General features: G+C 46.7%; 1 protein-coding gene across 12 annotated transcripts in view, besides 1 other annotated feature; it reads left to right on the plus strand.

Moving 5' to 3' along the window:
• Positions 1 to 26605, plus strand: part of TBC1D22A (TBC1 domain family member 22A) — a 413050-nt gene that overhangs the window by 315576 nt on the left and 70869 nt on the right.
• Positions 11723 to 12696: an enhancer, noted in NCBI's record as "H3K4me1 hESC enhancer chr22:47485844-47486817 (GRCh37/hg19 assembly coordinates)". NCBI's record gives its function as "activates a minimal SCP1, AML or CMV promoter by ChIP-STARR-seq in naive H9 embryonic stem cells {active_cell/tissue: H9 hESC(naive)}" and the evidence as "EXISTENCE:reporter gene assay evidence [ECO:0000049][PMID:30033119]".

Raw genomic sequence — 26605 nt, forward strand, 5'->3', positions numbered from 1 at the left:
AGAAGCCTGCTCTCCTGGCTCTGAGCTCACTTCTCTTCCCTCTGCCCTTGGTCTTTGTGTCACCTCTCTCCCTGGATGGACGTGAGTATGTTTCAATCTATACTGTAAGATTTTTGCTTTCAAAATAAATGTAGAAAAAGGGTGAGAATTGCAATCGTGTATGCAAGTGTGCCCCCTCCCCTCCCCGGAGAGCTAAGACAGGTGAGAATGGCTGGCATGGAACAGCTCCATGCCCCCCGCTCCCTTACCTGTAAGACACTGCTGGTGGTAGGATCCACTTCATGAGACCATTGTGAGGAGTAAACCAAATGGAATAGTGAATGTAACGCGCTTAGCACAGTTGTGGCACGCAGTGCCGTGTCACAGGCCAGAGCTGTGGCGTGTAGTTGCTATCAGTGTGATTCTTACCATCGAGGTTTAGGGAACCTACCACCCCATATACAATCCTTTTGTTGCACCCTTTTTTGCTGATCATCCAGTGTCTGCTGCACTACCTGTGGTGACAGTGAACCCATTACTCACAAGGCAGCCTCTTCCATTATTAATTGGTTCTAGTTAAGAAGGCTTTCCTTACATTCATCTAAGGTCTATCACATGGTAGGAATGCTCCCACGGAGACTGGTTTTCTCCTCAGGAGCTGCTGTAGTATGATAGAGAGTATTGGGGTGGAAAGGCTCACAGAAGGACGTGGACCGATTCCATCAGTTTACAGAGCTCTCAGCTACAGTGTCCTCAACTGTGCAGAGCTTCTCTCTTTGCCCTCTCTAAACACCCTGTATATATACGAACAAGAGAGCGCTACTTTACGTGGCTTGGGGCTTGTTGTCATTGAGTGGGTAAGTGAGAATGTAGAGCAGACTTTTTTTTTTTTTTTTTTTTGAGACAAGGTCTTACTCTGTCACCCAGGCTGGTGTGCAGTGGCACGATCTTGGCTCACTGCAACTTCCACCTCCCAGGTTCAAGCAATTCTCCTGTCTCAGCCTTCCTAGTTACTGGGATTACAGTCACCTGCCAGCATGCCCAGCTAACTTTTGTATTTTTAGTAGAGATGGGGTTTCACCATATTGGCCAGGCTGGTGTTGAACTCCTGACCTCAGGTGATCCACTTGCCTTGGCCTCCCAAAGTACTGGGATTACAGACTTGAGCCACCGTGCCCAGCCGGGACAGACATCTTGATAAAGAAAAATTGAAGTTTCATTTCTAGTAGGTTGGTGAAATAGCTACCTTCCCATGGAAAAGAAATAAAACTGCTAGAAAATAGCATTTATAATAGCACAGGGAAGGGGTAAATGGAAGTAAACTCTTGTAAGGTTCTTATATTTAAGTGGTGCAAAGTAACTGAAGATAAATTCAGATGAGGTAAGGATGTATTCTATAAACCCTAGAGCGACCACTAGCAAAATAAAACATAGGTATAAAATCCTAGTAGAGAAGATAAAATGGAGTACTGCAAGATATTTGATTGATCCGAAAGAGTCTGGACATGTAGGAAAAAAGAGGAGTACAGAAGAGAACATCAAAAGCAACAGCAATATAGTAGACTTACACTTAATCATATTAACAGTTATGTTAGATATAAATGGATTAAATACTTCAATTAAAAGATAGATTGTAAGAGTGAATAGACAAGCAAGATCCAACTATGTGCTGTTTGCAGATGAAGCACTTTACGTGTAATAACATGGATAGAAAAAATGATTTAAAAAAGGTGTATCAATGCAAATACTAGTCAGTAGAAGGCTGGCTACATTAATATCAAATTAGGGAGACTGCAAGACATACTTTGGCATACTACCACAGCTAAAGAAGGACTTTTTTCTTTTTTAATGATAAAAGATCTGTTAACCAAAAACGTATAAACTACCCTAAATGTGTTAACAGGACTTCTAATTACATGAAGCACAAATGGACAGACTTGAAGGGAGTAGATAAACTAGTTATAACCAGAGATTTTTACTTTTGTTTCTCAGTCATTGATGGCATGAAGAGACCAAAAATCAGTAAAAGTATATTTGATTTAAATAAAATTATGAAGTAGCTTGCTTGATCTCATTGACATTTATAGAATACTACATTCAACAATGGCAGATACCCAACAACATTCTTTGCAAGTACTCAGTAACGAATCACCATGATTTCCTGGGCCGTAAGACAAGGATCAAAGTTATATGGAGTATGTTATCTAACTCTAATAGAATTAAGTTAGAAATTAATCAGAAAGATAAAAATCTCAAAAATTTTGAAACTTAAGCAGCATGCTTTTAAATAATCCGCGATTCAAAGAAGTCAAAGGGAAAAGAGATTTTTTTTTAACCGAATGGATTATAAAAATGTAACCTTTGAATTTGTGGGTTATAGCTAAAGCAGTGCTTGGGGAGCTAACCATATACCTGTAAAAATATATATATATATATATGAATGAAAAGAAGAAGGACTTAAAATCAGGAATTTTAGTTTTTACCTTCAGAAGCCAGTAAAAGAAGAGGAAATTAAACCCAAAGGAAGTAGAGGGAAGGAAATGAAAATGAAAAGAACAGAAATCAGTGAAATAGAAAATGGGCAAGCAATGGAGGAGATCAACAAAATCAAAAAATCAGTAACATTGAAACATCTTGGCCGGGCATGGTGGCTCACGCCTGTAATCCCAGCACTTTGGGAGGCCGAGGTGGGTGGATCACGAGGTCAGGAGATCGAGACCAGCCTGACCAACATGGAGAAACCCTGTCTCTACTAAAAATACAATATTAGCTGGGCGTGATGGCGCATGCCTGTAATCCCAGCTACTAGGGAGGCTGAGGCAGGAGAATTGCTTGAACCTGGGAGGCGAAGGTTGCGGTGAGCCGAAATTGTGCCATTGCACTCCAGCCTGGGCAACAAGAGCGAAACTCCGTCTCAAAAAAAAAAAAAAAAAAAAAATGACAGTACACACTGAGTAGCATTTGTTCTAGGCTTGCAAGGTTGCTTTACCCTTCCAAAATCTACCCATGTGACTGACCACGTTAACAGAATAAAGGGGAAAACCATATGACCATGTCAATAGATGCAGAAATAGCATTTGACAAAATTCAGCACCCGCCGTGGTAGAAACGCTCCATAAACTAGGAGTAGAAGGGCACTTCCGTGTTGAAAGACACTCATAGAGTCTCACATCTTACCTCATAATTAGTGGTGAAGTTATCAAATGCTTTTCCCCCTAAGGTGAGAACCAGGCAAGAATTCTGCTCTCACTACTTCTATTCAGTATTGCTCTGGGGAGTTTAGCCGGGGCCTCCAGTCACGAAAGTGAAATAAAAGACATGAGGATTGACAAGGAAAAAGCTCAATTGTCCTTTGGATTATATAGATAGAAAAAATTTAAGAATCTACCAGAAAAAGTGGATGCAGGATACAAGGTTAATACAGAAAAATCAAATGTATTTCTGTATATTAGCAATAAACAATTAGAAAATAAAATTTAGAAGTTGATATCATTTTATAACAACATTAAAAATCCTAAAAATACTTAGGGATAAATTTAAAACTACTCAAGATCTTTACACTAAAAACTGCAAGACAGTGCTGAGAGAAATAGAAAAAGATCTAAACATATGGTGAGATATACCATGTTTTATGAGTACAAAGACTTAACACTGTTAAAATATTAATTGACGGCCAGGCATGGTCGCTCATGCTTGTAATCCCAGCACTTTGGGAGGCCGAGGCGGGTGGATCACCTGAGGTCAGGAGTTCAAGACCAGCCTGGCCAAGGTGGTGAAACCCCGTCTCTACTAAAAATACAAAAATTAGCCAGGCGTGGTGACGCATGCCTGTAGTCCCAGCTGCTTGGGAGGCTGAGGCAGAAGAATCGCTTGAACCCAGGAGGTGGAGGTTGCAGTGAGCCAAGATCACGCCACTGCACTCCAGCCTGGGCGACAGAGCAAGGCTCCATCTCAAAAATAAAAAAAAAATTAACTGTCCGCAAACTGATTTTTAAAGTCAGTGAAATCCTAATCAGATTCCTACTAACCTTTATTATAGACACAAATCAATTTATTCTAAAATTTATGTGGAAATGCAAAGGATTCAAGTTAATAAAATTTACAGAGTTTTTTAAAAGAACAACTAAGTTTGAGAACTTCTTGATTTTAGGACTTCCTACAGAGCGGCAGTTATCAGGACAGCGTGGCATTGACATAAGGATAGATAATAGAATAATAGAATCGAGTAGAGATCTGAATAGTCAAAGGACAGACAGGGAGGGTATATTTATAATACATACATCTGACAAAGTACCCATATCCAGGATATATAAAAACTCCTATAGCTAACATTACAAATAGCCCACTTTAAAAGTGGACAGAAGGTTCAGATAGACACTGCACAGCAGAAGATATTCTGATGGCCAACAAACACTTGAAAAAGTACTCAACCTTATTAGTCATCAAGGAAATTCAAATTAAAACCACAAACAAGGTACTACTACACGCCCTCCTTAATGGCTAAAAATGAAAGAACTGACAACACTAAGTGCTGACAAGTATGTGGCTCAGCCAGAAGCCCCAGGCACAGCTGATGGGAATGTTAAGTGGTACCACCACTTTGGAAAACTGGCACTTTCTTATAAAACTAAACAAACTCCATTCCTAGGTATGTGCATGAGAACTGAACATTTATGTCCACAAAAAAGTACTTGTACCAGAATGTTCATAGCAGCTTTATTCATACCAGCCAAAACCTGGAAACAATGCAAATATATGTCAGCAAGGGAATGGATTAACAAATTCATACCGAGCAGTGCTCTTCAATGACAACGTGGATGAATCTCAGAAACATTTTAACCAGCAAGAGAAAACTGCAAGAGAAAACATACCGCCTGATTTCACTTACGCTAAGTTCTAGAACTGACGAAAACTAATCAAGAGTAATAGAAATCAAAATGGTGGTTTCCTCTGGTTAGCCCTGGGTAGTGCGGGATTGCTGGCAGAAGGACATTTATATATCTTGATAGGGATGTGGATTCCACTGGTATATTCAATTGCAAGACTCAGCAAATAGTTTGCTTAGATCTCTGTGTTTTAAATTATACATCCGAAAAAAACTATTAAAATCATGTAAAATGTTGAAATCTAGAAATACTTAGAAGACACACACACACACACACACACACACACACACACGAGTCAAAACATGAACCCAAAGTAAGTGGCATCCTCGTCCTGTTTTCCAAATCTGGTTAACCTGAGCTTCCGTGGGCGAGACCATCTCAAGTACTTGGGACAAAAGGAAATGGTCACGGTTCTCCCCAGGTAGTGAGGCTGAGGGGAGAACCCTCTAAATAAAGCCGTCAGCTCAGAGGGCGCCGTCCTCAGTGAGGCTGCGTTGGGAGCAACTCCTGCCCAGCCCCAGGGGAGGCTCCTTACCCTTGTGCTGAGCTCTGTGAATCTGTCTGTGAGTGAGGCTTTGGCAGACCGTTTGCTTAAGGGTGAAAGATAAATTGTCATCTTAGGGAGGTAGGGTAGTAAGAACCATCCCACACACTGGTGGGAAGATATTCAAATGGCCATCAAACACTTGAAGAAGTACTCAACATTACTCATCAAGGGTATATTAAAACCACAGTGAGATACTACTGCACGCCCACCAGAATGGCTGACAACGAAAGGATTGACAACTCTAAATGCTAGCAAATGTGTAGCGCAGCCAGAAGCCCCAGGCATGCGGAAATGCAAAGGATTCAAGTTAATAAAATTTACAAAATTTTGTGAATTTTGTAAGAGGCAAAATAGGAGTGATAGTATTTGGATTTACCAGTGTACACTGTGAAAATCAACTGCAAAAAAGAATTTGGCTTCACCGGGGAGAGTTGATGAGGTGCATTCTCTACGATCCAGGTATTCCACACTTAAGTCATACGCAGTCAGGCTGCCCTGTCTAGTATGGTGGCCATTAGCCACATGCAGTTGTTTAAATGAATAGATTGAAACATGACATTTCTCAGTCACACTCGTCACAGTTGAGGTACTGCAGACCCATCTGTGGCCGGCGGCTACAGTATTGGGCAGCACAGATGTAGACATTCCCATCATTGCAGAATTCTTCCCGAGGTGCCACTTGAGAGCACTGATTCTCCAGGGGTGACGACTGGACCGGCAGCTTCCGCATCAGCAGGATGTTGCTGGGTGCATCAACAGGTTGCTGCATTTCTGTTAGAAATGCAGATTCATGAGTCTCATTCCTGAGTGATCTGCGGGGTCAGAGATGCAGGAGGCGGGGCCCAGCAGGCTGTGCTTAACGAGCCCTCCAGGTGGTTCTGGAGCACGCAGCAGTTGAGAGCCACTGCTCTAGGGGGACTCTTGAAAATGTGCACGCGGATTCCTGCAGTCCTGATTTTTAATAGCAAGAAAGGAGCAGAACCTAAGTATTCAGCAACAGAATGGATAAACTGTGGAGTATTGTTGGGGAAATGAAAATTAATAATAGTCTGCAGCTACACGAAGTAATGTGAATGTATGAAAAGTCCCTGATGAATACATAGTTTATGCTTATCTTTATCTAAAATTCAAAACCAGAAGAAAACAAGTATGGTACAAAGATAGAGAAAAGTGAGGAAATGATAAATGCACAATTAAGGACAGTGTTTACCTTGAAAGGATTAGAATCTCATGGAAATGGCTGGCTTCAGGGGAAGTTACCAATCCAGAGGTTCATTTTCTCCTTAAACAATAGATGGTAACTCTAAGCGTTCTTGGACTATTGGCATTCTTTTACTTTCATATTAAAAAAATATTTTGAGGCCAGGCATGGTGGCTCACACCTGTAATCCCAGCACTTTGGGAGGCTAAGGCAGGCGGATCGCCTGAAGGTCAGGAGTTTGAGACCAGCCTGGCCAACATGATGAAACTCCGTCTCTACTGAAAATACAAAAATTAGCCGGATATGGTGGCGTGTGCCTGTAATTCCAGCAACACAGAGGCTGAGGCATGAGAATTGCTTGAACCCAGGAGGCGGAGGTTGCAGTGAGCTGAGATCATGCCACTGCACTTTAGCCTGGGTGATAGAGCAAGACTCTGTCTTATAAATATATACATATATTGATATTAACTCAATATTTAAACCATTTAAAACTATAAAAATATCAGTTTTTGGTTGATCATGAATTTTTTCCAGAAAGTAACATAGAGCACCAAAAATATTCCTTTATCTATGGATTAGATAAATATTTTATCCATGCAGTCTTACAGTTGCCAATTTTTGCTTGAATTTTCCATCTTAGCATTTATTATTAGGCATGGAAGGATTAGAAGTAAAATGCTGGGCAGAGCTCTCCCAATCAAACTTGAGCTATAGGCAAAATAGGAGTGATAGTATTCAGATTAAAAAATGACTAAGGAAAATTGCATTAAGTTAATTACATAGAGCCATTTTATTGTGGTAAAACAATATTAAATATATATGTCAGAAGTCGTCAAGATAAGAAAACAGAAAGCCAAAATCTGATCGAAAGATTACAGTTGCAATAGAGAACTTTAATTCTTTCTTATCAGTGTGTGAGTTATCAAGTAGAAAAAAAAGGGCCAAGGATTCAAATAATATAGTTTTATGGTCAAATTAATATTTGTTCACCGGGAATCCAGAGATGGGAGAATAGCTAGACTTTTTAGAAGAAATCACACTACCATCTACATTCATGCACACAGATGCACTTGCTGTCCACCCATACGTACATGTGCACTGATGAATGTGCAGACCAGATTAAATTGTGATGTAAACAGTTAAGTTAAAACCATGTGCTTAGATTAAGCATTTGAAGCATGCCAGTGCCCACTAGAATCAAGAATTTAGTAGAATGTGTGAAATGTCAGTTGACTGTGGTGTCAGGACGTGTCCATTGGGCACTGTAGCCCAGCGCTCTTCTGGGAGCGCTGTGGCTCCCATGTGTACCATTTTCTACCGTAAATTAAAACTGTAGCCATGGCTGGCCGAGCGCGGTGGCTCATGCCTGTAATCCCAGCACTTTGGGAGGCTGAGGTGGGCGGATCATCTGAGGTCGGGAGTTTGAGATCAGCCTGGAGAAACCCCGTCTCTACTAAAAACACAAAATTAGCCGGGCGTGGTGGCAGGCGCCTGTAATCCCAGCTAGTCAGGAGGCTGAGGCAGGAGAATCGCTTGAACCTGGGAGGCGGAGGTTGCGGTGAGCTGAGATCGCGCCATTGCACTCCAGCCTGGGCGACAAGAGTGAAACCCCATCTCAAACAAACAAACAAACAAACAAACTAAAAACAAACCGTAGCCTTAATCTGGGTAAAGGGTCCAGGGGCATTGCTTTGTGTTGTTTCTTACAACTACATATGAAGCTACAATTATTTCGGGATAAAAGTTTAATAAAGTGTTCTCCTCCCCCTATATACTAACAGTGTATACGCGATAGTATTTTATCATAGGTAATATTATCTAATGCCCAACAGCAGAGAGCCGTCAGCCTATGGGGACTTTCCTCGTACGGTGAGAGGAAAGGAGGGCAGACAGCCGGGAGGGGAGCACAGTGCGGCAGCAGGGCGGACACAGGGACCCAGCAAGAATGAGCACAGACGGGTGGTTCACACACTCTAGCAAGTAGCATATGCCTGGACAACTGTTGGCCCAGGAGCCATCCAAAAGATTAGTTGGAGAAAAGAAAAAATGCTGTATCTACAGGCCTGTTCATCGTAGCACTGTTTGCAGTAGCAAAAGATAGATATCCATCAATGTGAAACTGGCTGAATAAGCTGTTCTACACCTGCCACCCCGCAACTGGAGTTCTGCACGGGGCTGAAAGGAATGTGGGTGCTCCGTCTGCAGCTAGTGAGCTCTTGGTTGCCTCACTGTTTACTGGAGGTGCAAGGTGCAGAACTGTGTGTGTCATATCCCATCACTTACCTGTTGATTGGTTGGCAGAGTATGAGCGTACACGCATACGCGCATGCACACAAACTTTCCTATTTGCTTATATTACAAACCAAACAAAATTAAAGAATAAACCAGAAACCAATGAAAAAGGGTTATAGTCTATATGGGGAAGATGAGATACAAAGGGTCAGATCTGAAGCCTGACTTCTCTTCTCTGAATGTACCTTGTTTTATAGTTTTTTACTTTGAATCATGTATTGCTTTACATAATTATAAAGCCAAACTAAGCCCAAATCAGAAAGCTATTCTTAAAAAGCAAGAACAAAATCAAATGAAAAGAGAACCTAAACTATGTGTCAAGTCGGTACTTTAATCACACAGAGAAAAATGACTTCAAACAGACTTTGAAGCAATTTGAATGTACAGCCCCAGTAGGATATATCTTAAGCAAAAAAGAATTGCAAAAGTTCTCAAACTTCAGATTGTTGGTAATATTATTAGTGCTGTTTGAAACTATGACTTATATACCTACTTACTGAAATACATATTTGCACATATATCTATTAAGACAAAGCAGATAAGTAATTATGATAATGTTAGAGGAACCACAAATTCTAACAAATTCTAACATAAAAGAGAATCAAGCATAAAATTAAAGAAGTAAAACACCCATAAGCTTAAATATGAATTAAGGTTCAATATAGCCAGGCGTGGTGGCTCATGCCTGTAATCCCAGCACTTTAGAAGGCTGAGGCGGGCGGATCACGAGGTCAGAAGATCAAGACCATCCTGGTTAACACAGTGAAACCCCATCTCTACTAAAAATACAAAATTAGCCAGGCGTGGTGGCGGGCGCCTGTAGTTCCAGCTACTTGGGAGGCTGAGGCAGGAGAATGGCGAGAACCCGGGAGGCAGAGGTTGCAGTGAGCCAAGATTGCGCCACTGCACTCCAGCCTGGGCAACAGAGCAAGACTCCATCTCAAATAAAAAATAATAATAATAATAATAAATTTAAAAAAGATTCAATATGAACTGTTGGTGGATTCTGCCCTTTGAAAAAATAACCTCTTATCTTCTGGCTGTGACCACTGAAAATTATTGGACCCAGTTATCAACCCCAGTGGAAATGAGCACCCTGCGGAGTCCTTAAGCCGTTTCCCATGAAAAGAAACCAAGGCTCCTTAGAGAAATGTTTGATGCCAGAAAATGTTTAAGATGAATCTGGAACATCTAGTCGTACAGAAAGCAAGGAACTTCTCATAGACTCTTGGGTCATGCCAAGAGCCCAATTTAAAGGGACCCTCTCTAGCCAAAAATAGGAAAACAAAGCATCAGAAAGAATTATGATGGCAGTTTATTAGAACATACCAAGAATGTTAAAGTCTATGAATTCATAATAACTTCTAAGTAAAGCCCTTACTAGTTCACCCGTGAAGGTTGCTAGGGCACCAACTGGTATATAAAAGGAAAGAGTCAAGAAAGTATTCTATTTTCCTGCTAATCAAATTTTTTTTTTTGACGGCAAGTTATTCCTTATGGAAGAACTGTGGCTGTAAATGGAGAGGCAGTGAAAGAATTGCAGTGTCACCCTAATGAAATGAGTCAAGCCAGTGCTCACCAGTAGCATTCAGAACCACGAGAGGGAGCTTGCAGGGGACTTGGTGATGGATGGTTCTGCCTGGTAACACCTGGACCTGCCGATCAATTGCAGCATCACCAGGAAGGAGACCCCAGACATTTCACACCTTCTGATGCGGTGAAATGTGAAGGCCACAGCTCCAACAGCGAAGCGTTCTCGCACACACACAGATCCCATCTGCATAGGATCCAGCCTTTAGACCGCAGTCCTGCTTGCAGGGAGTACCAGGGAAGGGGGAAACGGATGGAACTCAGCAGGGGAATAAACTAGCCAGAACTAGAGTGTGAAACATCCCACATGGCCATGACCAGATTGCTTCCACAAAAGCAGGACAGAGAAGCAAGAAAGAGGAGGGAATTCGAGATTTTAAATGAGTAAGAGAGTTGGCTCTCAGATGCATTGTGTATGTGTCATTTGGAGACTGATGAGAACAAAGTGACAGCAGAAAGACACATGATTGGGAGGCATGCAGGATCACATTAAGGAATCATGGTTAATTGTTTTGATGTAATAATAGGCTTGTGATTATGTGTCTAAGTTGTTGTCTCTGAGAGAAGCTGTGAAATGTGATGTCTGGGATTTGCTTTAGAATAACCTAGCAGCATGCAGGCAGAGCGGGGGTCGGTAATAAATGAAATGGCATTGGCCAAATATTGATCATTGTGGATCTTGAGTGATGGATGCAGGGCTGTCTTTCTACTATGCTTTTTACTTTGGGGAATTCTTGAAAAGTCTTATTTGAAAATGGTTTTACACATCACACCACACGTAGACGTACACACAGTCCATGCACACAGACATGTGCGCACAAAGGCGGAAAGCCTGGCCTGGGTGAGCTCGTGTGGGAGGAGTGAGGCCGGCAGGGTGGGAGGTGTCACTCTAGTCACCAGAGTGGGAAGCTGGAGGTGACAAGGGGACAGTTTGACTGTCTTAAAGATCCTGTCTTGTTTCTTATTGTTGTGCAGAACCTGTATAATTTTCCTTGTTTTAGATCGTAAGAAATTCTTCTCACTGTTCCATTTTCTGTAAAATCTAAGAATTCCCTGGTTAATGGTTATTGGGTGAATGTGGATTCTTTTTGTTCAAATTGGTTCAATAAGACTTTTATTCACAAGTCTTATTCACAGCCCAACTTACAAGGGGACAGGTTGAAGTGTTTGCTCAAGGTTGGTGGTGGGAGGTCCTTGTAAATGCTCAGTCATCAGTGATAAGCAGAGGTCAGAACAGCCCAGTGTGAAGCCTCCGGGGATGTGAACAGTCCGGAACTTTGGCGTGGCATTCGCTCACCCTCTGGATGTCTGTATCATTTCCCCGGGCCCCGCCGTGCGCAGCGGTCCCGTGCTAGGTCTGTGGGGTCCCAGAGGGGTGGGGGGGCGGTCCTCATCTCTAGAAGCTTATACCCCAGCAAAGTGGTTCTCCAGCTCCACCTCACCTGGGAATCATCTTGGGAGCCTGTGAAAGATGAAGATTCCGGGGCTTGCCACCCATTCATGCTAGGAAAGGCCAGCATCCGCCAGCTCATGTCTCCACCCGGCACACACTGAGCTGGGCAGGAATGACAAGGATATAGGCACAGGAGACCCAGTCCCAGCCCAGGGAGCGCTCAGACAGACGGGGCGTCTTGGAGGTGCATAGACATTTCTGCCTGGATGCCACTCCAGGGTGGATGTGCTCGTCCCCTACTGCCACTCTGCCCCGTGTTCCAGCAGCCGAGTAACTTCGGGAAATCCCAGTCAGTGCTGTCAGAAACGCAACATGCATGCCCTTTACTGTCCTGTTTAGAAAATGAGCACCTGTGTCCCCTCCAGGTGGATGCTGGGCCTGCAGAAGCTCTCCTGGGGGTGTCCGGTGGTGGGTCCTGGTAGCCACAGCCTCTGCTTCCTCAGCGTCCCCTTCGTTTGCTTGCTCCAGGTCTGGGTCGGTTGCAGTTGACAGTAGCGGGGAGGGGGTGGCTGCGTGTTGATAGAGACAGGCACTAGAAGTCATCTTTGGGGGAGTGGCCTCGCAGAGGGGGTGGCTGCTTGTTGATAGAGACGGGCACGAGAAATCGTCTTTGGTGGGGAGTGGCCTCGCGGAGGGGGTGGCTGCTTGTTGATAGAGACGGGCACGAGAAGTCGTCTTTGGGGGGAGTGGCCTCGCAGAGGGGTTGTTGATAGAGACAGGCAGGAGAAGTCGTCTTTGGGGGGGTGTGGCCTCACGGAGGGGGTGGCTGCGTGTTGATAGAGACAGGCACGAGAAGTTGTCTTTGGTGGGGAGTGGCCTCGCAGAGGGGGTGGCTGCTTGTTGATAGAGACAGGCATGAGAAGTCGTCTTTGGGGGGAGTGGCCTCGCAGAGGGGGTGGCTGCTTGTTGATAGAGACAGGCACGAGAAGTCATCTTTGGTGGGGAGTGGCCTCGGGGAGGGGGTGACTGCTTGTTGATAGAGACGGGCACGAGAAGTTGGTGGGGAGTGGCCTCGCGGAGGGGGTGGCTGCGTGTTGATAGAGACAGGCAGGAGAAGTCATCTTTGGTGGGGAGTGGCCTCGCAGAGGTTGTGGCTGCTTGTTGATAGAGACAGGCACGAGAAGTCGTCTTTGGGTGGCTGCGTGTTGATAGAGACAGGCACTAGAAGTCGTCTTTGGGGGGAGTGGCCTCGCAGAGGGGTTGTTGATAGAGACAGGCACGAGAAGTCGTCTTTGGTGGGGAGTGGCCTCGCGGAGGGGGTGGCTGCGTGTTGATAGAGACAGGCACGAGAAGTCGTCTTTGCTGGGGAGTGGCCTCGTGGAGGGGGTGGCTGCTTGTTGATAGAGACAGGCAGGAGAAGTCGTCTTTGGGGGGGTGTGGCCTTGCGGAGGGGGTGGCTGCGTGTTGATAGAGACAGGCACGATAAGTCGTCTTTCGGGGAGTGGCCTCGCTGAGCTTCTTCTCAGGTCCTGTGCACCTGGCAGGCTGCTTCAGCCTTCACAAAGCAGTGCTCTTGAACTGAGGACCTCACAGGTCTGGGTCTCAGAGGTCCTGAGACCTTTAGAGTTTATCCAGCTGGACTCTTCCTTTTTCCAGCTGAGGAAACTGAGCTTCATTTGCACCTAAGCTGCCTGTCTGTTTTGAGGAATTTTCAGTTTAGTGTTCACAGTGAGACAGGTATTAACACACCGTAGGCTTCACCATTCTCTTAATCACCTGTTTTGGGTACAGAGCTCTGTGATATGGTGATATGCACTCAGTGTCATCTCTAATTCTTACCATCATTTGTACTGGAAAGCGTGTACTCGTGTACTGGACATCATGATTGCCGTCTTACAGATGAGCTGTTGGAAGCTGAGGCAGGGACTTCAGTTTGTCCTGCACCATACAGGGACCATATGGGGTGGGAGTTGTGGGCCAGGCCTGAGTTCAGTGCCCCTGCTCTTTCCACAAGAACAGAAGAGGGCACGCTGTGTACCTGTGTCTCAGCTGTGCACTGGAGGGATGTCGGAGCAGGGCGCCTTACCCTGGCCTCAGGAGTCCCTGTGGGGAAGCGAGTACCTAGAGGGATGCACTGTGCGTGGGTGTCCTGATAGATTGCAGGGGGAATACAGCCCCAGAGCACAGGACAGAGAGGTATGGAGGGAGCCCGCAGCAGCCCAGAGTGTCTCAGTGAAGAGGGACAGGACTCACCATAAGGGATGGGGCCTTGGGTTGGTGGTGGCGGAAGAAGGCACTTCCCAGGCTGGGAGAGCAGGAATGAGTCCCAGGAGAGAGTGAACGAGGATGCCCAGGAGTGGAAACTGGAGTGGAGGGGCTTGGTGGGCACCTTGCATGCATGCCCTGGGAGCAGACTGCAGGCTGCACACTGGTGTGCACAGGGGTGAGCCCGTGTGTATGTCTGTGTGGCTGATGCAGACCTGTGAGCCTCAGCCTGTGGACATGCCCACCGGCGGGCCTCACAAGTCATTGCAGGGCTGGGGACAGAACGTGGGTCGCTCACTGAGAGCTGCCCCACACTTACTCCTTCTCTGACCCCTATGCTCTTTTAGCTAAGTTCAGTCTACAGAGAGAGTTGAGGCTTTGACGTATTAACTGGTGTGATGTCATTTCTTGCTTCAAAGAAAAAATAATCAGGGCTCACAGTGGTTCTCTTCCCTTTGAATTTGCCAAGAACATCCTTGACAAAAATTAAGAAAACAGCGAAGTTCATCAGTTTGGACAGGATAGCAAAAGTACCTTTAGAGTGGTGCTCACAGACCACATGGTGTTACAGCATTTTCTAGAAATGCTGAGTCATCAGACATGGAATGTTGAGATTTGGGAAATGGGAGGAGGAGCATCGAGGGTGGCTGAGGTTAGCAGCAGAAAGTTAATCCTTCTTGCAACTTAGTGGCAGCTCTGGCCCCCACAGTCTACTTGAGCTTGTATAATTCATGAAGTTTTGACAGAGCAGCATTGAAAGGATGTCTTTGATTTCATCCATAAAGGAGATAGGCGTGTGCAGGCGGTGCGGTACTTGTGACGGGAGCTTGTGAAGTGAGCCGCCTCCCTGATGTGTCTTGGCGGCCAGCAGGCCCTGTGATCCTGCGCCGAGTCTCCTGTGGTCTCCTCTAAGCACCTGCTGGTGACCTTGGATCTCTCCTCAGGCCCTTGCTAAAATATGTAAATCAAGGTCATTTTTTTTGAGTTTGATTCTTAGCTAGTTTTTGCTGGTGTGCATTTTTCTGGTTTAAGGATCCTTGCCTCCCTGCAGGGCCAGCAGCAGCAAAGGATGAGAGAGAGCAGGTTGGGGGAGGGGGCTGCCTTGTTCACTCTCCCAACTCTCAGCTGCCCATCGGAAAGGCTGGCTAGACCATTCCTCATCTGTGAGCCCTAGGAGTTCCCGGCTTCCCAGTGCATGTTGATTTTTCATTAATAAATTGAATATTTAAACCAGTCAATTGGTATATAAAAGGACCTAGGAACACAGCCCTGGGAAACGCCTTTCAAATTTGAACATGAAAACGATCTGTCATCACTGAGCACATCATTGATGACAGATGCAGTCATCACTGTAATGGTTAATTTATACGTCAACTTGGCGGAATCACCATTGCCAGATATTTGGTCAAACATTATTCTGGATGTCTCTCCGAAGGTGTTTTTTGGTTGAGGTTGTTACAGAAACACCAGGGGTTCTGTCTGGGTCCTGCTGCTCACTGCACAGAAAGCCAATCCCCAAGACAACAATTATTCCCAAGGAAGAAGGCTTTAATTGGGTGCTGCAGCCCAGGAGGTGGGAACTCAGTCTTAAATGCATCTCCCTGACTGACTAAAACATAGCAGGGACGAAAAGTAATGATGTATGGGAAAACAGGGAGGGGTAAGGAAGCAGTCAAGATGAATGAGGGGCTTGGCATCTAGCTGTCTGGATGCTATAAGCTGGTAGTTTCAGTTCTTTGATACTTTTTGAGAGGCTGGTATCTCATTGTCCGGATCTGGTGAGTTTCAGTCCTTTGATACTTTTTGAGAAGCTGGCAAGTCCTTTCCTGAGGAAGGAACTCAGATAAAACAAATGTTAAGTTTTAAGCTTTAAGATCAGAAGGGTCAGTTTCTAAGTTTGTCAAAAAAATGGTCTGTGGGACGATTGGGTGGGTTTCAAGGCTAACATTTAAGTCAGGGGACTTTGCATAAAGCGAAGGGTGACCCTCCATAATGTGCGTGGGTCTCATCCCATCCGTTGAAGGCCTTCATAGACAGAGACTGGCCTCTCCCAAGCAAGAAGGAATGCTGCCTGCTTTTGGGTGGACTTAAACTGCAGCTCTTCCCTGAGTCTCTAGCCTGCCTCCTACCCCACCAGATTTTGTTCTCATCAAGCCTCTACAATGGCATGAGCCAAGTCCCTAAGATAAATGCCCTCTGTCTATTTATATACATGTATATGTACATACGTCCTGTCGGTTCTGTTTCTCTGGAGAACCATGACTGATACATCAACCAAAGAATAAATATCCATTGGGAATTTTAAAAGTTCAGTATAGTTTATGTCTTTCTCTTATACTATATGGCTTTAAAAGGCTTATTTCAGTTAGAGAGTGTTCATACATTGGACCAGAATCCCAGGACCAAGGGACAGACCCTGTAGATCATTCCCTTCCCCTGATCAGCCCCCGAGGCTGTAGAGAGGAGAACCCGTCCTGTGACTCACTAGATTTGATTGGCTGTGACCTTTGTCTTTAACCAGTTGGAATGTTCTCAAGACCTGGACAGACACATGCCGATAAGAATCTGGCAAAAGAGAACATGGGTGGCATAGAGCTAATGGATGAGTCACTGAGGCCGGCTGGGTAGCAACAGGCTCATTTAGGCTTTAGGATTTGGCTGTGCCATGAAATGTGATGTACAGCTCTTACTACAGCCCATGCCGTAAACGTGGGGATGTTGGCGTGAATTTTAAAATGGCTGTGCTCTGCATTATGGGCTGGTAATTGTGAAACACAGTGGTCTGGTGATGAATATTTCAAAGGAAATCATAGCAAAGATTTTGCTTGTGCAGCTGAAGTTGGTGCACTTGAATCTTAGCAAAGAATGGGAAACAATTTCTGTCATTTGAATGGCCTCAAAACCACATCTATGTAAATACGCATATGCGGGGAAATCTCGTGAGGCCAGAAGGCCATTTGTTTTTATTTCGTGCCAAAAATTATAAGGAAAATCGAACAATGCAATTAAAGGTGAAATATTGTTCCTTTTATCACAGTTTCTCCATTATAAAAAATAGAAGGAAAATTGTTTCTTTGCCTTAGTTCCTACATTTTAAAAAGTTTATATCATATATAAGTAATTTGCATTTAATCTTAGTCATTTTGAACTTTCATTTTGTCATTTTATAAGCAAAACTAAATCCGCCACAGAACGTGTAGTGCAGTGTTAAGAGAACTCATGTGGTAAGGCATCAGGATTTCCCCGTCTCCCAACTGGGAACTGAAGGAGAGGAGCAGCTCGGCTCTGTCCTGCTGTCCATCCCTTTGAGCTTCTCTCAAACTCCAGGGCCCTGGCCCCTGAGGAAACTCATGGCAGTTCTTAAGGGAACAATCCTGCAGGGAGACCCTTGAGAGGAAGGTTACAGGGCTGTCAGGAGCTGCCCCAGGCCTATGCACCTTTCCCAGTGAGGGGATGCTGAGCGGGTTGAGTCTGAGTGACAGCAGAGGGGGCAGAACCAGAACCCTTTCCCAGGGCTGGGCTGGAGGCTGGCCCTGTCCACTCCTGGCTGACCCCAAGGCTGAGTCATATGGATGAGAGGTGCTGCTACATAGATGAGTCTGTTGGTAACTAGAAAAGACCACTTCAGATTAGTCCTTGGTCTTTTTGCTTTTTTTAATTATAAAAAATGTTAAATATACAGAAACATGTAGATAATAGTCTAATGAATGCCTTTGAACTTATTACCCAGCTTTAGCAAGTCAAAAAGATTTGTTTCATTTTTAAAAAGCTTCAGATCTGTTGTCTATTTCTTGTTTAGAAACACATTTCACATGTACTACGGAAGCCTCTTCTCTTCCTTTCCTCTCCTTGGCAGTCTGTGGTTTCGCCTAAACTTTGTATTCATCATCTTTTTAGTTCTTGCCCATCTGGAAACTAGGAACTGGCCTCTCACCTGATCCACTGCGCTGAATGCCCCAGATTTTTTCTCTTGTGGATTCTTTGGAGGATTTTGAAGTAGAATACATTCTGGATACGAATCCTTTGTCAGTCACATACCCACTACAAATACCTTTTTCCAGTTTGTGATTGAGAAATCTTAATTATAGTGTCTTTTGTCATACAGAAGTTTAAAATTTGGGGGTAGTTAACTTCATCAGTTTTTAAAATTTATCCTTTGTTGGCCGGGCACGGTGGCTCATGCCTGTAATCCCAGCACTTTGGGGGGCCGAGGGAGGCAGATCACTTGAGGCCAGGAGTTTGAGACCAGCCTGGCCAACATGGCAAAACCCCATCTCTACTAAAAATACAAAAATTAGCCGGGTGTAGTGGCGCATGCCTGTAAGCCCAGCTACTTGGGAGGCTGAGGCAGGAGAATTGCTTGAACCTGGGAGGTGGAGGTTGCAGTGAGCCGAGATTGTGCCACAGCACTCCAGCCTGGGTGGCAGAGCGAGACTCTGTCTCAAAAAAAATAAAAATAAATAAATAAATAAAGTATATCCTTTGTGTCCTGAAGTGTTGTTTTTAGGCGCCACTTTCTCCCCCACCCTCAGTTCGCGTGTGGTGTGCAACAGAGTCCAGTTTCATTCTTCCACGTGGATAGCCAGTTGTTTTCTCTGTACCATTGATGGAACGTTCCATCCTTTGCCTTCTGGCTGGCACTGCTGTGCCTGTCATGGATGATTGTGTGTCCACATCAGTATGGGCATGGCCACGTGGCCTCCACATGAGTATGGGCGTGGCCCCGTGTCCTCTGTTCCACTGCTCTTTCTGTCCGGGGCCTAGGCCACGTGGCCTCCATTAGTCCCACAAAATGTCTTGCTGTCTGATACAGTCTTCACCTTGTCGTTTTGTCTTTGCAGTTGTCATGCTAGTTTTGGCCCTTTGCTCTTCAATATCAACTTTGGAATATGCTTTAATTCTACAAAAATCCTGGATAAATGATAGGGAGTTTTTATTAGAAGTGCATTGAATTGGGTTGGGCACGGTGACTCATGCCTGTAATCCCAGCATTTTGGGAGGCCGAGGCAGGTGGATCACGAGGTCAGGAGATCGAGACCAGCCTGGCCAACATGGTGAAACCCCATCTCTACTAAAAATACAAAAATTAGCCGGGCGTGGTGGTGGGCACCTGTTATCCCAGCTACTTGGGAGGCTGAGACAGAATTGCTTGAACTTGGGAGGCGGAGCTTGCAGTGAGCTGAGATTGCACCACTGCACTCCAGCCTGGGCGAGAGAGCAAGAGTCCATCTCAAAAAAAAAAGAAAGAAAAAGAAAAGAAATGCATTGAACATATCAATTAAAAGGAAGATAATTGACATCTTTTCCATTTTGAATCTTTTTGTGTGTGAACCTGGTATATCTCTCTGTTAGGTTTTCTTTTATGTCTTTCAGGTAACTTTTACATCATTTCCAAAAGTGTCTTGCATATATTTGTGTAATATATTCCTGTGTTCTTCTGTCCCTCTCACTCAGCAAAAATTCTGCAGGGGTGGGCTCCCTGTGCCCAGAGGTTGCCTACCTGCCTTTGCCTTTGACTGGTCAGAATACCCTTTCATCTGTTTACCTGGAAGTAGGAGGGGCTCTGAGTGCTAGGTATCCCCTGGGAGTGGTGGGGGCCCCTGCTACTGTGCAGCTGTCCTTTGGAGCAGCTCTCATGGCATGCTGGCTGCTTTATTAGATACAATTTACTGGACGTAGTAAAGAAAAAAAAAAGAAAAAGAAAAAAAATCAGGATTGGGAGATTTCAGCTGTCTAATCCAATTGCAATAGGATCAGGACTTGTTAATGGTCATTTCCAAGGCACGTGGGCTCTTCCGTGAAATGTTTTTCCCTTAACTAGAGAGATGTGTTATTTTTAAAGATGGTGTTGGCTCTAAGAAGAGTATTTCTCCTTGACCTCCAGAACCCCCTGTCCCCAGAGTCCTACCCTTTTCCCAGGGTGAGCGTTTTAAGAGGAGATTCTTCTCATGGACTTGTTTTTCACAGGGGTGATGGGGCAGCATGGGGCGTGTCCAAACACAGCCCTGACCTCACTTATGGCTGTTCTGACACCCTGATGCTGCCACCCCCAGGTGGCCTGTGCATTGTGGGGCCGCACCACAGGAACTGGACACTCTTCCCTGTGTACTGCACAGCAGAAGCCATGCTCCCCAACCCCATGCACCAGGCTGCCCTGGGGAAGGGCCAGGCAAGGCATCCCCCCGACTCCATGTACCAGGTTGCCCTGGGGAAGGGCCAGGTGAGGCATCTCCCCGACTCCATGCACCAGGCTGCCCTGGGGAAGGGCCAGGTGAGGCATCCCCCCGACTCCATGTGTTAGGCTGCCCTGGGGACAGGTCAGATGACTCGCATCATGGGTGGCTTGGGGTCTGGAGGTTCCTCCCTGTTGCCCGTTAACTTTGCTGACAGTCCTGCCCTCGCTGGGCTGAGACGGGGACACCAGGGAGTCATGCAGCCATTAGTCGCACAGTGTCTCTGGCAAACAGCTGTGCTCTGAGCTCCGACTGGGACCTCCTGTGAGGACAGGAGCCAGGGTCTCTGGAGAGCCTGCAGGCGTAGGGGGCAGTCAGGTGCTGTTGTTGACTCAGCGAGCTTGCACACAGTAGCCCCAAACCCTGACTGCGGGGGCTCCTGAAGATGAATTTCCCATCCTAGCCAGTGGGGCTAATCCAGGGAAAACCCCTCTTTACTCAGACCCTGACACAGGGGTCCCAATGCCAAGGCTGCTGCAGAGGTGAAAGTTCCACCCTCAGAAAGCCAGGAGTCCTGAGCGCTTACCCTGTGCTGTGCTGGGTGTCACCGTGTGGAAGTGCAGACCCTGCTCTTCAGAGCCTTAGATGGCAGCTGGGAGGAAAAGGGCATACACAGAGGGAAGGGCCTGGCTGAGGCGCTGTCTATTCACATTACCAGATAAGAAGCCTGGGAGGGAGCTTGGAGGGTTTTCAGGAAGGCATGAGAGGCTGGGGTTGGAGGAGCCAGGGAGAGTTGGGTTTAGGGGCGGTCAAGAATGGTTTGGCCTACCGGAAGGCATGAGCAGGGGCAAAGACAGTGAGCAGCCTCGTCCCTGCTTTCTTTCTTTTTTCTTTTGTTGTTTTTTTTTTTTGAAACGGAGTTTCGCTCTTGTTGCCCAGGCTGGAGTGCAATGGCGCGATCTCAGCTCACTGCAGCCTCTGCCTCCCGGGTTCAAGCAATTCTCCTGCCTCAGCCTCCCGAGTAGCTGGGACTACAGGCATGTGCCACCACACCCAGCTAATTTTGTATTTTTAGTAGAGATGGGGTTTCTCTGTGTTGGCCAGGCTGGTCTTGAACTCCTGACCTCAGGTGGTCCACCTGCCTCAGCCTCCCAAAGTGCTGAGATTACAGGCGTGAGCTACCGCACCTGGCCTCGTCCCTGCTTTCTAAAGTTAGAAGACATCAGGGTGGCTCTGCCAGGTCTCACATGGCCCATTCTGTGTTCCACACCACCCTCCAGGGTGCCTCACACAGCCACTCCAGCTCTCCACTGTTTTCTCGTCTATAGAGAGAGGTGCAACGTGCTGACCTTCAGAGCCCTTCCAGCCCTGGTGTTTGACACGGGCCCCAAACAGTGAGGGCCTCGAGCACCAGAGAAACGAGGTGGGGCGGCCTGGGGCTGTGTGGACTGGGCTGCAGGCCTGAGAGTGGGTAGATGCTGACAGACAGAGCCAAGATTGCAGGTCAAAGGCAGTGTTTGCAATGAAAACTCTAGGGGGCTGAAACCCAGCTGGGTGGCTTCCAGGGTGCTGCCTGGCCCATCCCTGCAGCTGCAGGCCGGTCCTGGCTTGTTCTTAGTACTTCACACAGTGCCATGCAGGGGTGAGGCGTCAGGGCACAGGGGTGAGGTGTCAGGGCACAGGAATGAGGCTGTGGAGTGCAAGGGTGAGGCCTCAGGGCACAAGAGTGAGGCTGTGGAGTGCAGGGGTGAGGCATGGGGAATAGGAATGAGGCCTTTGGGCACAGGGGTAAGCCTGGAGAGTAGGGGTAAGGCCTGAGAGCACAGGAGTAAGGCTGTGGGGTGCAGGGGCAAGGCCTGGAGAGCAGGGATGAAGCCCTGGGGCACAGGGGTGAGGCCTCGGGGGACGGGTGATATGGTTTGGCTGTGTCCCCACCCAAATCTCATCTTGAACTCCCACATGTTGTGGGAGGTAATAGAATCATGGGGGCAGGTCTTTCCCATGCTGTTCTCATGATGGTGAATAAGTCTCCTGAGATCCGATGGTTTTAAAAAGAGGTGCTCCTCTGCACACGCTCTCTCCTTTTTTGGCCTGCCACCATCCACGTAAGACGTGACTTGCTCCTCTTTTCCTTCCGCCATGATTGTAAGGGCTCCCCAGCCATGTGGAACTGTAAATCCGATTAAACCTCTTTCTTTTGTAAATTGCCCAGTCTCAGGTATGTCTTTATCAGCCACGTGAAAACGGACTCATACAAGGGGTGAGGTGGGCCCCTCCTCCCCTTCCCGCAGTAGGCTGCCGTCTTCAAAGCAGAGTCCTGTCTACCAACAGCTCGCCTCAGAGGGATCGCTTGGTCTCTGGTTAGGCAGTTAGAGCCTCGGCTGAATGAGCTTTGGGCTTCTGTGAGCTTGCCAGGATCTGCTTAAAAGAACCATATTTCTCTTCCATTGCAAAGTGTGGAAACGTGCCCGATTTGCATGGCACTCCCGGGAGCCCTTGGGTATTGTGCTTCAGTGTGGCCCCAGCAGACTTATTGTTGAGTCATCAGTCAAAGCTGCTGTTTCTTTCATTAGCGATTAAGAGAGGGGAATATTGAAGTGATCTGAAATAAAAATTGTCAAAGTGTTCTTTTGTTGTATTAATCAGAACCATATTCATCATTCGAGGGAATCCTAAAATATTCCTGACTCGCTCGTTAAATGACACCTGAGTGTTTCCTCTGCAGACTGGCAGTGTGAGGAAGACTGGAAGTGTCCCCCTGCCCCCCAAACCAGAGAAGAAGCAGGGACAGGCTTGGGGCATTGTTTCACCAGGAGTGCTGGATGCTGGGCCGGCCTCTAGAGCCTGTCACTGCCCTGGTCGGGCTAGGTATGTCCTTCCAGCTTCTCCGTCTCTCTAGACCTTGGCCGGGTCCGAGACCTGTGGGAGTTTCCCAATGCAGCGACCAGCTGCCTCAGCCATGCCTGTGGGGCGAGGCGGCCAAGGCCCCAGGAGGAAAGGAGCAGTTTCCCCAGCATCCTCGGTACTCAGACGGGACATGCTTGGTTTCCAAGGCCAGTGGGTTCCAGGGTTTGATTGTGTGTTGGGGTTTTTCTCAAGTGCTAGGGCTGTAACAGACCGGCGCCAGCAGGAACAGGCCCAGCACTGGAGGCCAATGTGAAGGGGTCACAGGACAGTGGGGGCACCGAGTTAGGTGGATGGGGCCTCATATGCCTTGAGGGGAACTGGGGGCTTCATCTTCCTTGACGGGAGATGGGGAGCCTCTGACTGTTAGGATCCGCCCACTACATCGTACCCATTGCACATGGCACATGGCAGACAGCTGCCCTTGCTCCAGTGACGTCCAGAATTTACCTGGTGCAGGGTAGCTGAGCACTCCACTCCCAATCCAGAATATTCCACACAATGATGGTATTTCCTCATCTAGTCTTTTTGGCTTTCTGCTGGGAGAAGAAGGGAGAGCTTACGGTTTCGCAGGTGACCAGCTCAAGACCTTTGTTTCAGGGTAGGGGGAGGAAACCGTTTCCGTCCCCCAACCCCCACTTGCCGTTGCTGCAGAACAGTCCTGAGTATCTGCTGAAGGTTCATCGCTGAGGATCCTTTCTCAGTCTCTGGCGCCTTCCTTTACCTCCCCAAAGTAGCCCGGAGCCTGGAGAACGGGGAGATCTTGATTTTCAGGACAGGCCTGGTGGCATGGAGGTGGGGGATGCCAGAAGTGGCCTTGCGCTACGCACCTCCCTGTGAGTCAGCCAGTGCTCATCCCACAGCCCCGGGGGCTTCTCCACGCCACAGCCTCCTCCTGCTTGACCCACCCCAGGCGTGTGCCTCTCACTGAAGGGGATGGAGCCCCCGGTCCTGAGTGGGCTCTGGCCAAGGCCAGGTGCCCAGGGCTGGCCTGTGGCCACTGCTCACGCCTCCCTGTTTTCCCACTGAGTGCTGGGTGATATTTATTGTCTGGATTATGCCTCATTAAAGCAGAAGCCCATTTTCCATAGATGATATGAGTTTTTTATTTATTAAATTAGTTTTAAGATAATTTACCAAGTCATCCAAGACAAATAATCCACTTAAGTGATGCCGTAAAGCTCTGTTTTCCCCCAGTGCTGTGTTTCTGGGAAAGCATGCCCTCTCCTAAGTTCTGCTCCCTGGTTGGAGACATCTTGTGAGCGGCAGAATTTACAGTCCAGCCTTACTAATTCAGAGTAGGATTGGGTAGGAGGGCTGGCTGGGGGCTGACCTTTGCACTCCCTGGTTAAATAAAAGGCTGTTAAGCAAATTCAGAGTGTAAACAGGATTCCTTGGAGAACCCATCATTCTGGAACTTCCCAGAGTACTCCTGGAGACCTTTCCTTCTCAGTATTTGCAATGCTAATTACCAATCACGTGCTACTCAGGGCTGGTTCCCTCAGGGCCTCACATACCTGAAGGTTTTTGTTTGTTCAGGTCACCTAAGGTATTTAAAAGGAAAGACACACATTTCTTCCCCCCTCTCCCAAACCCTCACCCTCACCCCAGAAAGAGGTACGTTGCTCTAGGTACATTCTCAGTGCCGAGCTTCCATGCACCCAGCCTGTCCCTTTCCCCAGGCTCCTGGTAACCCAAGGTGGTGGATTTGGGGGTGTGTGTGTAATTTCGTTCGGTTTCCATTCCTACTCTTAGTCTTGGGGCTGGGATTAGAATGAAGAAGGGGTCACAGAGGGAAAGCTGACACAGGGGACACACTGGACCATGACAGTGTGGCATGTGCCGCGGAGACATGGCCAGGGCTCCTGGGAAGAAGGGGTGGAGACAGCCCACTGCCTGGGAGAAAGGGGGAAGATCCTGAAGAATGAATGGGTTTATCTAGGGGAACAAACCCAGGAGCATTCCCTCGTGGGGCAGCAGAATGCCTAAGACAGCCAAGGCTGCAAAGGGTTGGAATACCAGATGCAGGGTGGGTAGGGACCGGATGTCCGGTCTGCTCTGCCTCATTTCTACTTGATCCTGAAGGCAGTGGGTATTTAAAAATAAAATGGTGACATGATAGGAGCCCGCTGAATTAGAAAGGGCATCCTAGTTACAGTGCAGAGAGGGCTGACGTGCCCAGAGAATGGGATATAGGAGTCGCAGTGGCATTTAAACTCAGTTGAAATATTTGGTCAATTTTAATTCCAACACAAACATGTAACATTTTAATGGCTGTATATGTTTTAATGGGTATTGAGGACTAAGCTCTGATTTTTTTTTATCTTGCCCAAATTCCTGTTTAACGGGTCTGGAGAGTCAGGCCCTACAAACCATACATAAATTCTCATCAGATGGGTTTTAATTAACCGTATATATCATGACTTACTTTCCAGCCTGACTTTGGGATAACATTATATGACAAAGAAGAAATTCAAAATATTTTACCCCAAAACGTGTTTTTTTTGCCATATTTGGAAATGGCAAAGCTGTCCTTTGTGGGGGAAAATTTGCGTCTGTAAAGAATCTTGGCTGGGCACGGTGGCTCACGCCTGTAATCTCAGCACTTTGGGAGGCAGAGGCAGGCGGATCATGAGGTCAGGAGTTTGAGACCAGCCTGGCCAATATGGTGCAACCCTGTCTCTGCTAAAAATATAAAAAATTAGCTAGGTGTGGTGGTGTGTGCCTGTAGTCCCAGCTACTTGGGAGGCTGAGGCAGGAGAATTGCTTGAATGCAGGAGGCAGGGAGGTTGCAGTCAGCCGAGATCATGCAACTGCACTCCAGCCTGGGTGACAGAGTGAGACTCTGTCTCAAAAACAAAAAAGAATCTCTATTAACATAGCTAGATTTTTTTCTTCCAGGCCCTCCCAATCCTAAAGAGATTAAGAGTCCAGCACCTTTTAAAGATTCAATAGATGGCCAGGCATGGTGGCCCACACTTGTAATCCCAGCACTTTGGGAGGGCAAGGCAAGTGGATCACCTGAGGTCAGGAGTTTAAGACCAGCCTGACCAACATGGCGAAACCCCATCTCTACTGAAAATACAAAAATTAGCTGGGCATGATGGCACATGCCTGTAATCCCAGCTACCCCAGAGGCTGAGGCAGGAGAATCGCTTGAACCCAGGAGGCAGAGGTTGCAGTGAACTGAGATCACACCATTGCACTCCAGCCTGGGCGACAGAGAAAGACTCTGTCTCAAAAAAAAAAAAAAAAAAGATTCAATAGGAAACATTTCTCTCTATTGTCTCTAAGAGCAGCCACTATAAGACTTCAAAAGAACCTTGGTCTCCACAGTCTTTTATCTTAACCTGGACATTTCCTTTCTATTATCCC

The sequence above is a fragment of the Homo sapiens genome, chromosome 22 (assembly GCF_000001405.40).
Source record: "Homo sapiens chromosome 22, GRCh38.p14 Primary Assembly".
NCBI lineage: Eukaryota > Metazoa > Chordata > Mammalia > Primates > Hominidae > Homo > Homo sapiens.